Genomic DNA, 15,764 nt, shown 5'->3' with positions numbered 1-15,764 from the left:
ATATTAGAGATTTTGGAGGGTTTTGTTCATTATTTACATTATCAGCTTTCCTCATGGTCAAGTAATTCTAAGCTGTCCATTGGTATTTATAAGTGAGAAATCAAGCCATTTTTGAAAGTACTCTGTTGGGTGGGAGTTAGACTGGGTATGGAAGAGGTTAGAGGGTGTTTTGTGGATTATTAGACTGCTGTTTATATTGACCAATAAGTGCATCCGTCTTTTTACTCTGGACTACCAAATGATTAATCAGGGCTCTCTAGAGGCACAGAACTAGTAGGAGATGTGTGTATATATATATATATATAGAGGGAGAGAGAGAGAGAGAGAGAGAGAGATACATATATATGGAGATATATATATATATGGAGATATATATATGGAGATAGATATATATATGGAGATATATATATGGAGATATATATATATATATACACACTGTTTTATATCTTTATGAAAGGGAGTTTATTAAAAAGAATTGACTCACAGGATCACAAGGTAAAGCCCCACAATAGGCTGTCTGCAAGTTCTGCAAGTTAAGAAGCAAGGAAGCCAGTGGTGGATCAGTTTGACTTCCAAAACCTCAAAAGTAGGGAAGCTGACAGTGCAACCTTCAGTCTGTAGCTGAAGGCCCAAGAGCCCCTGGCAAACCACTGAGTAAGTCCAAGAGTCCAAAAGCTGAAGAACTTGGAGTCTGATGTTCAAGTGCAGGAAGCATCTAGCCCATTAGAAAGATCAAGGCTGGAAGACTCACCAAGTCTCCTCTTCCATCGTCTCCTGCCTGCTTTATTCTAGTTTTGCTGGCAGCTTATTGGATGGTGCCCACCCAGGTTGAGGATGAGTCTGCTTTTCCCAGTCCACTGACTCAAATGTTAATCTCCTTTGGCAACACCCTCACAGAAACACCCAGGAACAATACTTTGCATTCTTTAAGCCAATCAAGTTGACCCTCAATATTAACCATCACAGATAATATGTAGAAAGTTCTTCAGTGCTTTTTAGTTTCTTCAATAGTTGGCAAAGGAGAAATATCTGCTGATTACTGATATTTTTGGAACAAGGTATAGGGAACTGTTGCCTCCTCATCTCTTCTTCTGGTAGAGTATGCCGTTAGTGCTGATTATCTCCCAGTTTCCTTAGAGTGAATGGGCTTGCTTATCCTGAGAGGTCTCTAACTCCCATTTGCTAAATTAATAAATTTTATGTGAATCCATTATTCCCCCAGTTCCTTGAAATCTTATGTTGAGGTGGTCACTTTTATCTTTCCTCCTTGTCTTAATGGATGAATATATTTGTTTGTTTATTTGTTTTAATTCTCTGCTATGCCTTTCCTGGGGTTAAGAATGGGAGAGGAGATTGACTTTTGTGCTTAATCTGTCTGGTTTCATTAGAATTCATATTATGTTCTTAATAAATAATTACATAATTTTCATAGGTTTATTTAACTCATATGTTATTATGAATGATGGCAATATGTTTCCGTAGGTTTGATAGGCAGAAGAAATAATTTCCTGAGTTTCTCAAAAATAAATATCTACAGTACCAGTGATGAATCAGTTCTCCCTCCTTTATGGCCATATTTCTAGGATCATTTTATAACTTATTGACATCTTTACCACAGGAAGAGACAAAGATTCACATCTGTCCATTTTAATACATGCTAAGAAGTTTTAGTAAGAGGTTTAATACAGGAGAGATTGGGAATTATTGGCTAAAATGATGCCTTGGGATTATCTGCAGATTTCATTACTCATGTTATTTCTGTCCTCCTATTACCATAGGTAATTGACTAGAGCTGAAGTGGGAGTATAGACTGAAATACAGTTGCAGCTCATCTGGGTTTCATTAAAACTATATCCCTGTTGAGCTACAGCTGGACTTTGCAACAATTTATGTCTAGGAGTGCTACCCACAGTCACTGGGAATTTGCCTGAGGTCTGAGACAGTTGCTATGAAAACTGTCCTACTCCCTCTTTCTTAGTGGAAATGTAACCAACAGTTAGCCAGAACTTATAATAACAAAGGTAAAGAAATAATTATAGAGCAGCAGGGTATTAACAAAATTGAGACTTGTAGATCATTGCACAAAGACCTATGTAGATTAGTTATTTTGATTGGTATTCTGGAACAATTTATTTTCATCTATACTATGAAAGTTGAAAAGTAGACCCTCAAAGTTTTAGGGAATTTTATCTCATTTTATTCTAAATATGTGTTTGCAAGTGCCCTTGAGCTTTCTTTGTTAAGGACAATTCTGTTTGGTTTCTAAAATTGTGAAGTCAAAAAAATTAAGATCAAATTATGGAATTATTTTTCAATCAGAAGGGCAGAGAAGTTCAGATAAAATTACTGAACTGTCTGTATTTTAAGTACTGCTTTACCAAGTGTGATTAAAAACTCGGCTGGGCACGGTGGCTCACACCTGTAATCCCAGAACTTTGGGAGGCCAAGGCCGGCAGATCACCTGAGGTCAGAAGTTTGAGACCAGCCTGACCAAAATAGTGAAACTCCGTCTCTACTAAAAATACAAAGTTAGCCGGGCATGGTGGCGCATGCCTGTAATCCCAGCTACTCAGCAGGCTGAGGCAGGAGAATCACTTGAACCTGGGAGGCGGATGTTGCAGTGAGCTGAGATTGTGCCATTGTACTCCAGCCTGGGCAACAAGATCGAAACTCCATCCCAAAAATAAAAATAAAAATAAATCTCAGAAAAGAATATCAAACTGTTTTTAGAAAGCCATCTTACTGAATACTATGACAAAATTGACATAATTTGAAGTGGTTTTAAACCTTTAAATATCATTTCATCAATGTGTGACATTTTGATTGGAATTTTGCCATAAAAACATTTTTTTTATAAAATAATAATGACATTTTAAAAGATTGTTCCCTTAACATCTTGTAGAATTTGCTACTCACAATGTGAAATTTCCCTTGGATATTGATTTAAAAGCTATCACAAAGAGTATGGAGGTACAAAGATGAGTAAAATAAAAGCATATGCAATCATAAAAATGTTTCAGGACATCTAGATTCTAGTTGTTTATACCATTAGAAAAAAATCAATTGCAGTTTTATAATAAATTTAAATAACATCCCAAATTTCTTTTTTAAGTGGTAAAGAAGCCCCTGTAAAGCAACACTACTCTAACTTGCTACATAGGCTTGCCACTCTGCTACAGATTCATTCAAGAAAGCAATGAGACCTGATGGAATGAGGAATTTAAATTTTTATTACTGGATAATATGTAAAACAAATATCCTTCCACCTCTAACCATGAATGTCATGTAATTTCTAAACTAGTAGATAAGCGTGTTGCTCAAATTTATGATTACAAAGAGGGTACACATGTGAAGCGGCCATTTTGATATAATTACATCATATGATTGGTTTGTCAAAATGCCTAATTTTAATCTCATCCTCTAATCTAGCTAACGCTATACAAACCTTCATATCTTAGCTAAATAGCACCACCACAAAAAAAAATACGTTCATATTTTACACTAATCCCAGCTACTCAGGTAACTGAAGTGGGAATATACTTGTTTCTTAAGACAGGTCTTCTATATATTACATTTTTCTCTTAAGTCAGGAATTCTCTGTGTACTGTTTTATCTCTTGTAGTTGCTCAATTAGTAACTTGATTGTGTGATTAAATAAGCTTACATCTAAATATGATGTATTTTGCTGAATCATTTTCATGATTTCTTGCTGCTTCTAACACAACATGAGTAGTGTATTGTAAAAGTGGCTTTGAATTGTGGATGTATAGATATAACTTAAGTTACCAAATCCAGACATGGTAATATGTTATCAAAAGCTTTTACAATCATTACCCTCAATATATTGGTTTATTTATTTTCGGAATCATAATGAAAGTATTTTATTATAACTGAGAGTAAAATGCCACCAAGAAGAGGTACAAAATGTAGTTGAAAAACAATCATTTTTTAAACTTTGGCTTGAATATTAGAGGGCATAGTTACAAATTTGTTAACTTATTAGTTGCTTCTTTTTTAAACCAAAGACAACAAAATTAGACTTAGAATAGATTTTATAGGTTGTTCTGCATAATTTATTTAAGTATAAGGACGAAAGAATTGAGAAAAGAAAGGCAGGCTGATTTGTCCCAAATCACACAGTCAATAGAAAGCCTAGTTATGGAAACCTAATTTTGAGACCTGCGAAGACAGTTTTCCGACTGCAAACATGCGGATTTCATTTCAGATATTCTCCAAACTTAAAAATGTATTCTTTTGAAAAATTTTGCCCCAAGCAAAAGATAAATTGCAACATTCACATTTTGTGAATGACGGAAATCTTTACCTCTACAGCCTGGTTGGCTTAATGCAAGGATATAAAAAAAAAATAATGAATCTAATGTCACTCATTTAACAACAAAATGATACTGTCAGCATTTTGATTAATGTCTATTTTGAACCAAGAGACCATTGTCTTATAGAAATATTCTAGACCAATTGCTAGTCTAGACTACAAAGTTGGACAGAGGTACCTTCTAAATCAAATCCTTTTATATCCCACAGGCTGAGATCATGCACATCTGAGATGTGTTAGTTGAAATTCCACACAGTCTTCAATTGCCAAGTTTGGATGGAATGAACATAATACTAAAAGTAAGGAAACTAAGAAAAATTAACATTAAAAACTTTTTGCTATATAAAGATTCTACAGAGAGCAGCAGGAAAGAAGGGCCCCCAGCATTCTCCACTGACAGATTTAAACTTGAAGCTGACCTATTGTTACCTCCAGGGAGGAAATGGGAAGGTTAGGAAAAAGATTTCAAGATTGAGCAACCAATTACAATTAACTCAGAAGTATTTTCTGAACAACTTTCTGTGGGGGGACACGTATATATGAGATGTGATTCCTTCACTCGCAGCTTGATCAAAGTATCTGACAGTTTGATTGAAGATGTATTCTCACCATTTTACCAGTTCAACCTTTATTTTCTGAATATTTAGAGGATTACAAGTATTATTATAAATTATTGGAGTAAAAGAGGAGTAAAAATAAATGTCCTACAATCAAAATATGCCATCATGAGAGCAATATTATAAAATTTTCAATGAAATATGTTAAGTGCTAAAATGGCAGAGCGCCCACTTCTCAGTCTTCATTTAGCCTTCATGTAACTCCCATGAGAAGAATATAGGAATTTAATTTATTTTATTATGGTGATAAATATGGACAAATATCCTAATATAAAACTGAGCAAATCATATAAATAAGGGATTATTGCAAACCAGGCTAAAATATGCAGCAAACATATGAAAGGTTCTAAAGCTTACTAGTAGGAAACTGCCAACTACAGCGGTAATGAGATAGTTTTCCTTCCTTCAGGTCAGTGAAAATTAAAAGTGGGGAAGCCAATCAGTGTTTCCTATGGTGCCAGGAAGTAGGCACGCTCATGGCTTGTAAAAATCCAAAATTGCTATTAATTCATGAAAAGGAATATCTACTAAAATAAACATGTATAATCTTAATAAAATAATAACTAGCAAGACAAATAGACAAGGAGAGAAGTAAAAAACCCTCCAAAAATATACAAAATGTTCATCACTGGGGAAAAGTTAAGTATTGTGGTTTTGATCCATATTATTGAATATTTTACCTTGATTGAAAGTGTTTGTCAGATCCATACATTTGACTGGAGGCTTTCTTTTGACATGTTTTGTGAAAAAGCCATTTTTGCTAAACAGTGTTTTTATTGTGACACTGAAATACTGTTTTTTAAACAAATAACAAATTCAATGTGTATGATATATAAGTATACATCTTTTCATCTATGTGAAGAAGGGTATGGAAAAGGCTGTTGTTAACCTTGGAAACCTGTAGCATAAGAAATGAAGTTCATATACGGATTGTTTTTAATTTTTCCCCTTACACGGATTCTTATATTTTGACTAATTTAGGTAAACCTATTAAGATTTTGCTTGAAAATATTAATTGTAACAAAAACATAAAGAAATGCTGTAAAATAATGAGAGAAATGAACTTGAAATATTTTTGTATTACTAGTGTTTATAATTTATGGAACTGTGACTTCTCCCCATCCACTTGTAGAGATAGTTAAGAATTTAATGTTGTTTTTAAAATTAAGATTTTTAACAAAATATGTAATTGTTATATTTTTTGCATCTGAAAATTAATTTGATACTTTTCTCATGTCTATTAGTAGGTAGGTTGGAGTAGATAATATTGTCTTGCTTTACAAATGGCTTGCCCTAGTCTACATGCCAAATACAAAAAAAAATTATTGATTCATGTTCAGAAAGAAACTCTGACATAGTTATATCAATCAAAAGGCAAATATGAGAAAGCAATTCCAACTCCATTGAGAAGCTATTCTTTCAACAAAACAAAGTGTTCCTAACTGGCTCTGAATAGGTAATTATGTCAGTCCATGGCATAGGGTACGGATAAAACAACTAGGCAGATGCGTCACAGCAATGGTTGGTACAGATCTTTGAATTTTAATTATGTTCAAGTTAGAAACATTTTTTAAAATGTGCTTTAGGTATAGACATAGAAATAATTATTTTTCTTCCTTATCCATCACCCTGCAAAAACCAAGTTTTTATAACTAGTGCTTTGTCCAATGAATCTGTAAACAGAAATTCTACAATTTTGCTAGAACTGTTTTTAAATTTCTACTTCTATATAATGTAATGCAACAAACATGTAAATTAGTTTCTTATACATACATTAATATATTTACCATTTAGGCCTCATCTACATGGTCAACATGAAAAACTTTCAGAGAATAGGGCAATATGTTTTTCACAACATAAATAACCTATAAAATATATGTTAAAATATTGATTTAAAATATGTCCTAAGGCCTTTGAAATGTAAAATAAAATATAATTTCTAATAGAAATGCAAGTCAGCATCACTTTACTACATTCTTTCTTTACACATTCTTGAAACTATCAAGTTTTGTGGACCATAACGTCACTAATGTTATCCTCTGTGGTAAAGTTTGTTGGGGAGAGTTTAGGAATAGATTTTGCCCAACCCCAATTTGTGCATTTTCTACCTCCTACAGATTTTTACGTAGTATTGGCTTCAATTAACTAAAGTATGGAGGATTGCTTCTATTTTCAGAATAAAGGCTCTTCTCTTACATGTTTTGAGTTTTATCTACTCAGGTGATTAAACTAGACCCAGAGTTTACACCAAGAAATGGTTGCATAATGTGGTAATCGTTTTTTTTTTTTAGTCAAGTATTCAATATCACTCAATTCTGAATAAATTATTTTTAATAAATACATGAAATTAATAATAATGCTTAGCAGAAATTTTTCAACTAAATCTTAATAAAACCATGTGCCATAGTAAGTAGATATTCTACCTTCTCATTTTCCTTACAAATAAGCACTGACAATTAGGCAGCATTTAACATTTAACATGCTTATCTTCACAGCTGCAGTGGCATTGAAGGTGATTAAGAATGGCAAGAGGAGTTTTCTTTTGTAAAGATTTGAAAATAGAGGGAAATAATGATCTATTCTCCCTTGCTTGTTGAGTGGTTAGAGGTAGATAAGCAGATTTGTAGTGAGGTCATCAGTCACAATTGGTTGGTAATTTGAAAATGGATTAGCTTAGAAGTAGCAATTTCTGCTCCATGGGTTTCAGTGAAAAAGTCTGCCTAATTCGGTAAGAGACCTCATAAACTGGCAGAGATCAATGCCTACCTAATGTGCCATTATGCACTGGGCACACTTCAATGATTACAGCACAGCTGTGGCTGGGTTTTGCTTGATATTTCTTTAGCACTTGCACCACAGGTGCTCCACATGACTATTTTGCCCAAAGGAATAAACTCTTTAGGGAACTAAAATGGAGGAACGGTTTTGCTTTCTAAGAGGCTTTTCACTTTTGAACTGAGGAATGGCCAGTGTCAGATGTCAGTAATGTTAGCCTAGTAATAAATAAAGACTAAACAACTTACGGGGAGAAAATCATCTTCTATTATATTTCTGGATGGCCCTTCCTTATTTTAAAAATTTTATGGGGTAATACTACCTGCCTTTGCAACTTGAAAGAACATGGTAACACAAATTTCCAAATGGAAATGTTCAATGTTTTATGAGATAAATTATTTTTTAATGGAAGAGACAGCATTACGTAATTTTTAACATTTTTCTGATAGGTCATGAAAATTAGTTGGCAATGCAGAAGGAAAAGGAATTCAGTAAAATAAATTTAAAATAAAAATTGAATGTAAGATACACCACTGATAATCCTTAGTCTTATGATCCCAAGATTTCTGTACTGGCTATGTGCAAATATTATATGTTGGAATAATGGGTAAAATATATTAAGAACAGATAAATAATTTGAAATGCAAATCTATATCATGCAAATAATAAATTCTGTTTTATGCTTTACACAAAGAAATACTAAGTAATATTACCTAAAAAATTATTTATGTATCTAAAAATTTATTATCTAAAATTTTTATCTTATAGCTCATTGAATATAATACGATAAATAATGAGATGCTACAAAAATCATTCCAAGGTAATATAACACACAGAAAGGAGTTTATTGAGAATAATTTATGATTGATTCCTTGATACCAGCAGGAACAATATGTGGTATACAATCTAACTCTTACAGTCCAGTTTTTAATGGAACATCAACATAGGTTTATAGTTAATCAGCAATCTTATCAGAAATGTTAGCTCTCATTTAGGTACCTGACCTTTTCAAAGTAAAAGAAATACAATACAATGATTAGACAAATAATGCTTTAAGATTTTAGGGGCAAAGAAAAGGATTTTCTGTTCCAAATTATTTCTCAATCTGCTCATGTAAAATCTTTTCAAGAGGGTACAGTCATCTAATCCACAGTTAAATGTTCATCTCTGAATGAAGTGGTCCAGTAGAGGTAACATATTTACTTGAAGTTTAGTACATGAAACAACAGTAGCAATAGACCCATTTAATACTTCCATAAAAGTATGTTCAGATTTCAAATGAATAGTTAATTTTTAAAAGGGCTTACTTCAGAAGAGAACTGCTATTCTGGTGAGAGGACTTACCATGCCACGGGAGTTGTGGGTGTTGCTGTAGGAATTTGGGAAAGGAGACAATTTGAAGGCTGTCACGTGAAAGGAAGGTGAAGCTTCAGCTGTGTGAATCCCCTGGCTAGTACTCAGAATATTATGGCTCCTTAGACACAGTTAAGATAAATAGGAAAAAAAAAACAACTTTTAAATGTGTAAAATCTAAAAATGAAAAGAGTATAACATGGAAAGCAATATAAAAGATAACCCTCTTCAAGGGTATTTAAGATCAAAGAAGAGGTCCTCGGATTCTAGATGAGCCAAGGACACAGACAGTTTTTTTGTTTGGTTGGTTTGGTTTGGTTTTTGGTTGTAAAAACAGCTTTATTGATGTATAATTTACATACCATAAAATTCACCAATTTTAAGTATACAATGCCATGTACATTTACAAGGTGGTATAATTATCATCACAATCTAATAACGGAATTTTTTCATCTTCCCTAAAGGAAACCACTAGCTCTTACACCCCATTCTCTCCCACTTCTCACCCTAAGCAAGCACTAATCAAATTCTTGCCTGTATCGATTTGCCTATCGACATATCAATGAAATTATATAATTTCTGTTCTTTTGTGACTTTTCACTTAGCATGTTTTCAAAGTTCATTCAATTTTAGCATGTATCATTACTTCACTCCTCTTTATTGCCAAATAATATCCCATTGAATGGATATGCCACAATTTATACACCATTTATCAATCAATGGCCATTTAGATTTTTTCTACTTTTTGGTTATTGTGAGTAGTACTATGAATATTCATGTATAAGCTTTTACATGGGCATGTTTTCATTTGTCGTTGGTACATATCTACAAGTGGAATTGCTAGATCACATGGTAACAGTATGTATAACTTTTTGAGGAATAGCCTCACTGTTTTCCACAGCAGCTAAAATCATTTTACATTCTCACCAGCAACATGCGTGGGTTCCAAGTTCTCAATATCCTTGCTAACATTTGTCATTATATATTTTTTATCATTGCCATCCTAGTTTTTGTGAAGTAGTTTCTCATTGTGGTTTTCATTGCATTTATTTTGTGTTTGTGCATCTATCTTTATTATTTTTAATTTTTTATTGATAATAATTGTACATATTTATGGGGTATAGTATGGTATTTTTATACGTGTATATAGTGTGCAGTGATCAAATGAAGATAATTGGCATATTCATCACCTCAAACAGTTATCATTTCTTTATGTTGGGAACAGTCAAAATCCTCTTTCCTAGCTATTTTGAAATATACAGTAAATTATTGTTAACTGTGGTCACCGTGCTGTGCTATAGAACACAAGAACCTATTGCTCCTATCTAACTGTAGTTTTGTACCCATTAATGAACCACTCCCTATCCTGTCCTCCCGCCTACCCTTTCCAGTTTGGCAATTACTATTCTACTCTCTAATTCCATGAGATCACCTCTTTAAGCTCCCACATACGAGTGAAAATGTAGTATTTGTCATTCTGTGCCTGGCTTACTTCACTTAACATAATGTCCTCCAGGCTCATCCAAGTTGCTGCAAATGAGAAGATTATATTTTTTTTTAACAGCTGAATAGTACTTCACTGGATGTATATATACCACATTTTCTTTATCCATTCATTTATGGAAGGACACATAGGTTTTTCCATTTCTTGGCTATTGCAAATAGTGCTCCAATAAACATGGGAGGAGTGTGTAAGCTCTTTAGCTTACTGATTTCCTTTCTTTTAGATATGTACCCAGTAGTGGGATTGCTGGATTATACAGTTTTTTTGTGGAACCTCATACTCTTTTCTAAAATGGCTGTAATAATTCACATGCCCACCAAACAATATATAAGCCAAGTTCAGAGAACACACTGGCATGGTTTTTTTTGTTTTTGTTTTGTTTTGTTTTGTTTTTTTGATGGAGTCTTGCTGTGTTGCCCAGGCTAGAGTGCAGTGGTGCAATCTCTGCTCACTGCAAACTCCACCTCCCGGGTTCAAGCAGTTCTCCTTCCTCAGCCTCCCTAGTAGCTGGGACTACAGGCGTGCACCTCCAGGTCTGGCTAATTTCTGTGTTTTTAGTACAGACAGGATTTCGCCATGTTGGCCAGGCTGGTCTTGAACTCCTGACCTCAAGTGATCCATCCGCCTTGGCCCCCCAAATGGTCTTTGAACTTCTGTGACCTCATTGTGTTCATTTATAAAATGCATTGATTAGATTAAATATCTTATGTCCTGACTATTTTAAAATGATGTAAATTACTTTATGGGTGTCACTTATTTGTGTAATTGGGTAGCATAAATTTAATTCGTTTAAACATTCAATATTTTTTAGAAAAATTTACTTAAAATTTGTTTAAAGATTAGCTGGGCATGGTGGGCCACACCTGTAGCCCCAGCTACTAGGGAAGCTGAGATAGAAAGATCTTCTGAGCCCAGGAGTTCAAATCCAGCCTTGGCAATATAATGAGACACTGCCTTAAAAAATATATATTAAAAAAAAGATTAACTATGTAAACATTTTAAGATTCATTAAATTTTTAAGCAATAAAGATGGAAGTATCTATTTCCTGAAGCATGGGAAAATTGGACTACACATTGTATCTACATGTGGTGCAGTGATGATTCTCAGAGAGATACTGGAATACAAAAGTAAAATTTCTCTTTTGTTACCATTTTTCTAAACCCAGCATTGAAACCTGTTATTATTATTTTTGTATATTTTTATGAGTTTAAAAATTAACTAGTCAAATTAAATAGTCCTTCTCATTGTCTTATAAGAACTTTCTAATGCAAACCACAAAAGTACATGCTGAGTTTTCAGATACTATGGTAAATCAGTTGTAAACGAACAGCATTTGAGTGCTTGGCGTGGCTGGTCTACACAATGGTACACTGAACAGAATACTGGTGGTGCTAATTTCACTTCATATACATTTTCCTCCAAGTAATACACATAATCATAAATCTGAAAATGTAGTTTGACCACTTTTCAAGGTAAACGAATATATAGATAGGGAAAAAAAATTAAACAAATTGAATGAAGTGATATGGAAATTTAGTAAAGTGAAAATTTGTATTATTTGAGAAGTAAGATCATCTGTTAGACTGGTGACTGAGGTATACAGTTTATCACAATCCATTCTTCCAATTAGAAAGACTTCTGAAATACATGCTCTTTTGGAATTACTGAAAAACAGAAATACTTTACATTCAAAGCAAATGGAATATACTAAAAATTTTTTTAATTGCCTTAAGAGTAAGGAAAAATTTTTAAAAATGGGAGTGATGTTTTTTGATGAGTTGAAGAATGTGTTAATTACCTTGATTGAGATAATTATTTCATAATTACATTGTACATCTTCAATATATACATCTTTTGTTTGTCAATTATACCTCAATAAAGCTTGAAAAATTCATATTGAAACAACCAAAATGCTATGATTCTAGGCTTTGGATGATTTGGAATGAAAAATTAAGAGAACGTGACAAGTTTAGTTAATAATAAACTAAGGTAATGCAAACTTTATTTTTACTTTCATCAAGAGATAAAAATAGCCTGACTATGATATGAAGCATAGTGAGTCAAACACATAAAGTAATTCCTTGTTCTGTGTGCATGTTATAAAAAATAAATATAGTTTTTAAACATTACATATTATTCTATGCAGCACAAATTGTTTATTTTAAATATTAAATGTAGATTGATGGTGAGATAAATGACATCAAATATTTAGATCCTTGGAAATACATGATTATGGCATTTTTAAATGATGCAAATATAGTTCCTTGCAATTAAAAAGTTGAAACATCAAAACCTCGCTAAGGTCCTAAAACAGTACAACATATTCTTGAAGAATAAGAGCTGCTCTGAGTTAGGGTGTGGATGGAAAGGGGTTTTTTTTGGTGGGGAAAGTGGACTACCTTTGAATTCTAGCTGCCTTGTCTTCTATTTCTCTGAACTTTTACTCATATTCTGAGCCCTGTATCTTTAAAGAGCCATTCTGAGGATGAATCAGATAAAGTATTAACATGATTTTTGTCAAAAAATAATTAGCTATCATTATCTAATAAAATATGAATCCATCAAACTATAGGTAATAAATCAGAGAGCTTTAAATACGGTTTTCTTTCCTAGAGACTCATATTTATATTTGTTGTTTATCAAAGTCTACTATTTTAGATACAACATTGTCAGCAATTCTTGAAATAATTTTTAAAGGATGGCGTCATATTTCACAATGAAATTCTATGCCCACTCCTTCCTTTATCGACATTACTCTTGATCTGTTCTACATTCCTTCACTGTCTGCCACTGAATTCAATGTGAACTCAATATGTGAATGAAATAATTTAGTTTGGATGAATATCAAATCAAAGTCATTACAGCTACGTTGAGGTGCCTCATATCTATTTAATTTTTCTTCCTTTAGATTAAAAAGTCCACTAAGATGTATTTTTTAAAGTTGAGATAGAAAGAGAAGGTGAATTTTAAAATTTTTTAACAAAATTGAACCTGTCAAGACTTCAGTGGAATTTTAATCCTTACAGTTTATACATTGAATTTGAGGGCTATGTTTTTGTTACCAAAGGAAAGGAAATATCTCTTATTTCTTTCTTCTTCTTCTTTTTTTTTTTTTTTTTTGAGATGGGGTCTGATTCTGTTATGCAGGCTCTACAGTGCAGTCGATCATGTCTCACTCACAGTCAATCATGTCTCACAATCATGTCTCACTGCAGCCTGGACATCCCCAACTCAGGTGATCTTCCTGCCTCAGCCTCCCCAGTAGCTGGGTTACAGGTCCACACCACCATGTCCACTAATGTTTGTGTTTTTTCTAGAGACTAGGTTTCACTATGTTGCCCAGTCTGGTCTCCTGAGCTCAACTGATCCACCCACTTAGGTCTTCCAAAGTGCTGGGAATAGAGGCATGAGCCACCATGCCTTGCCAACTATTTCTTTATATTCAACTTCCCTTATGAGAACCAAAGGTAAAACAAACAAAGCATTAAATGAAACTCTGAGAAAATTTAAAAGTAATAAAGATTTATTATGCTTGAATTTATATTAGTCACTTACAATTGTTGGCATCACCAGCCTTTACATTGTAATATTTAGTTGAAAAAGAAATATAATAAGTTTTCTATTAAATAGAGATTTATTAATTCCTACTGCCATAACTGCATGTTTTAAAAATTAAATTTCGCATGGATGCTTGCATGTATATGTGCACATATTTTTTTCTTATATACTTTTGTTATGCCTGTATTGCTTTCATTTCCTGGAAAAACCTTTGGTGGAGCATAAAGTCAAAAATTCTTTATATTTGCCTTTTGTTTAATGTCTTCCCACAGTTTTTTAGGCACCTGCTATATTGTCTTCTGTATTTAAACAGTAAGGGAAGTAGACTTATTACAGAGAGAAGTTTGATTTTCTTTTCTGAAGCCACCTGGGAATTGTAGATAAGCAATATAAGTAAAATGGGAGAAAAATGTTTAAGACCACCACCACAACACAAATAATAAAATAAAATAAATCTTTGGTTACATTGTCAAAAAAAATAAAAGAGTACAAGAGAAGTGGAGAACGTGCACTGCCAAACACACATTGAGACCTGCTGTTTTCCCTGTTGGTGTCCACATGGCTTTGATTTTCATCTAATTGCAAGAAAACACAAACATTGGCAAAGGCCTTACTAGATGTTTGGTGACCCCACTGTGTTAAACAGAACTTGAATTTGTGTGCCTAAAGCAAACCTCTGTATGATGTGTGTGTTTGGCTTTTATTCCCAGAAATATAATAGGTCCATCAATCAAAAAAAGGAACATAATCTAGAAAATGGGGAAGAGATTTGACAGTGAGTTGAAAAAATAAGCACATTCTCCTCCTTCATGACCCTTGTTATCAATACCTTTGAAAAGAAAAATCATTCAGTTCATAAGACACAATTCCTAACTGGAATTCAGTATGCTATTTAAAGTGCTAATACTCTTTACAGAAAGGGACACTGAAACTGAAGGTCAAGTTTTCTTTTCATTTTGATGAGTTCTAGGAGACAAAGCATTTTACCATTCTACATTTGGCCATCTCCCTAGCCTTGTCTGATCTCATCCCAAAATTCGGGGAGGAGATTCTGATGATGGTAATACTGTTAACTAGGACAGATTTAGGGCTGTGTTTCCTATTTTGTCTTTGTTTCAGTATTTCAAAGTCAACTTTGAAGATTGTTCCTGAATCATAGTGATTGAACAAAAAGAATGTGATACTTAGAAAATGATAATCGAATCCTTTGACTGTCAGGAGAACTAGATTGAACATTCCTTTAGTAGGTAGTCCCTTTGCTGTTTTTACCAACTAGTGTCAGCCAAAAGTTTGAAGCAAAGACCTGCTCAGAGACAGATACACATAGCATTTACTTTAAAAGAGAATGTAAATGCTCAAATTTCCTTTAAATATAAAATTAAATATAAATTAGTCATCTCATTTCCTTGTATCATACAACTATCTAAATTTAAAAACAAATCAAAAAGGTCATTTTCAGACATGATGTTGATAACCATAACAGCTTCATTCAAATCTTTTGTATGCGACTTAGCATTTATTGCCTCTCCAATCTAGCATTGTCAGCAATTCTGGAACCAACACATCCAAAGCACGTAAATCTTAAATAATTGATTGTCCAGTATCCAGGAAAAAAATTTAAGG

General features: G+C 33.2%; 1 protein-coding gene across 2 annotated transcripts in view; it reads left to right on the top strand.

Annotated features, from left to right (window-relative positions):
• The window catches only part of SEMA3A (semaphorin 3A), a 536,949-nt gene that overhangs the window by 193,052 nt on the left and 328,133 nt on the right, over nt 1–15,764 (top strand). Inside the window, exon 4 of one of the 2 annotated variants that reach the window (XM_047419751.1) lies at nt 4,543–4,632. The exons of the other annotated variant lie outside the window; for it this stretch is intronic. The gene's annotated coding sequence lies outside the window, so the exon portion shown is untranslated. The remainder of the gene's footprint in view (nt 1–4,542; nt 4,633–15,764) is intronic. 2 annotated transcript variants of the gene reach the window in all.

This window comes from Homo sapiens, chromosome 7, assembly GCF_000001405.40.
Source record: "Homo sapiens chromosome 7, GRCh38.p14 Primary Assembly".
Classification (NCBI taxonomy): Eukaryota; Metazoa; Chordata; class Mammalia; order Primates; family Hominidae; genus Homo; species Homo sapiens.
The sequence above is the reverse complement of the archived record's forward strand: the minus strand, read 5'-3'. Positions and strand labels throughout refer to the sequence as shown.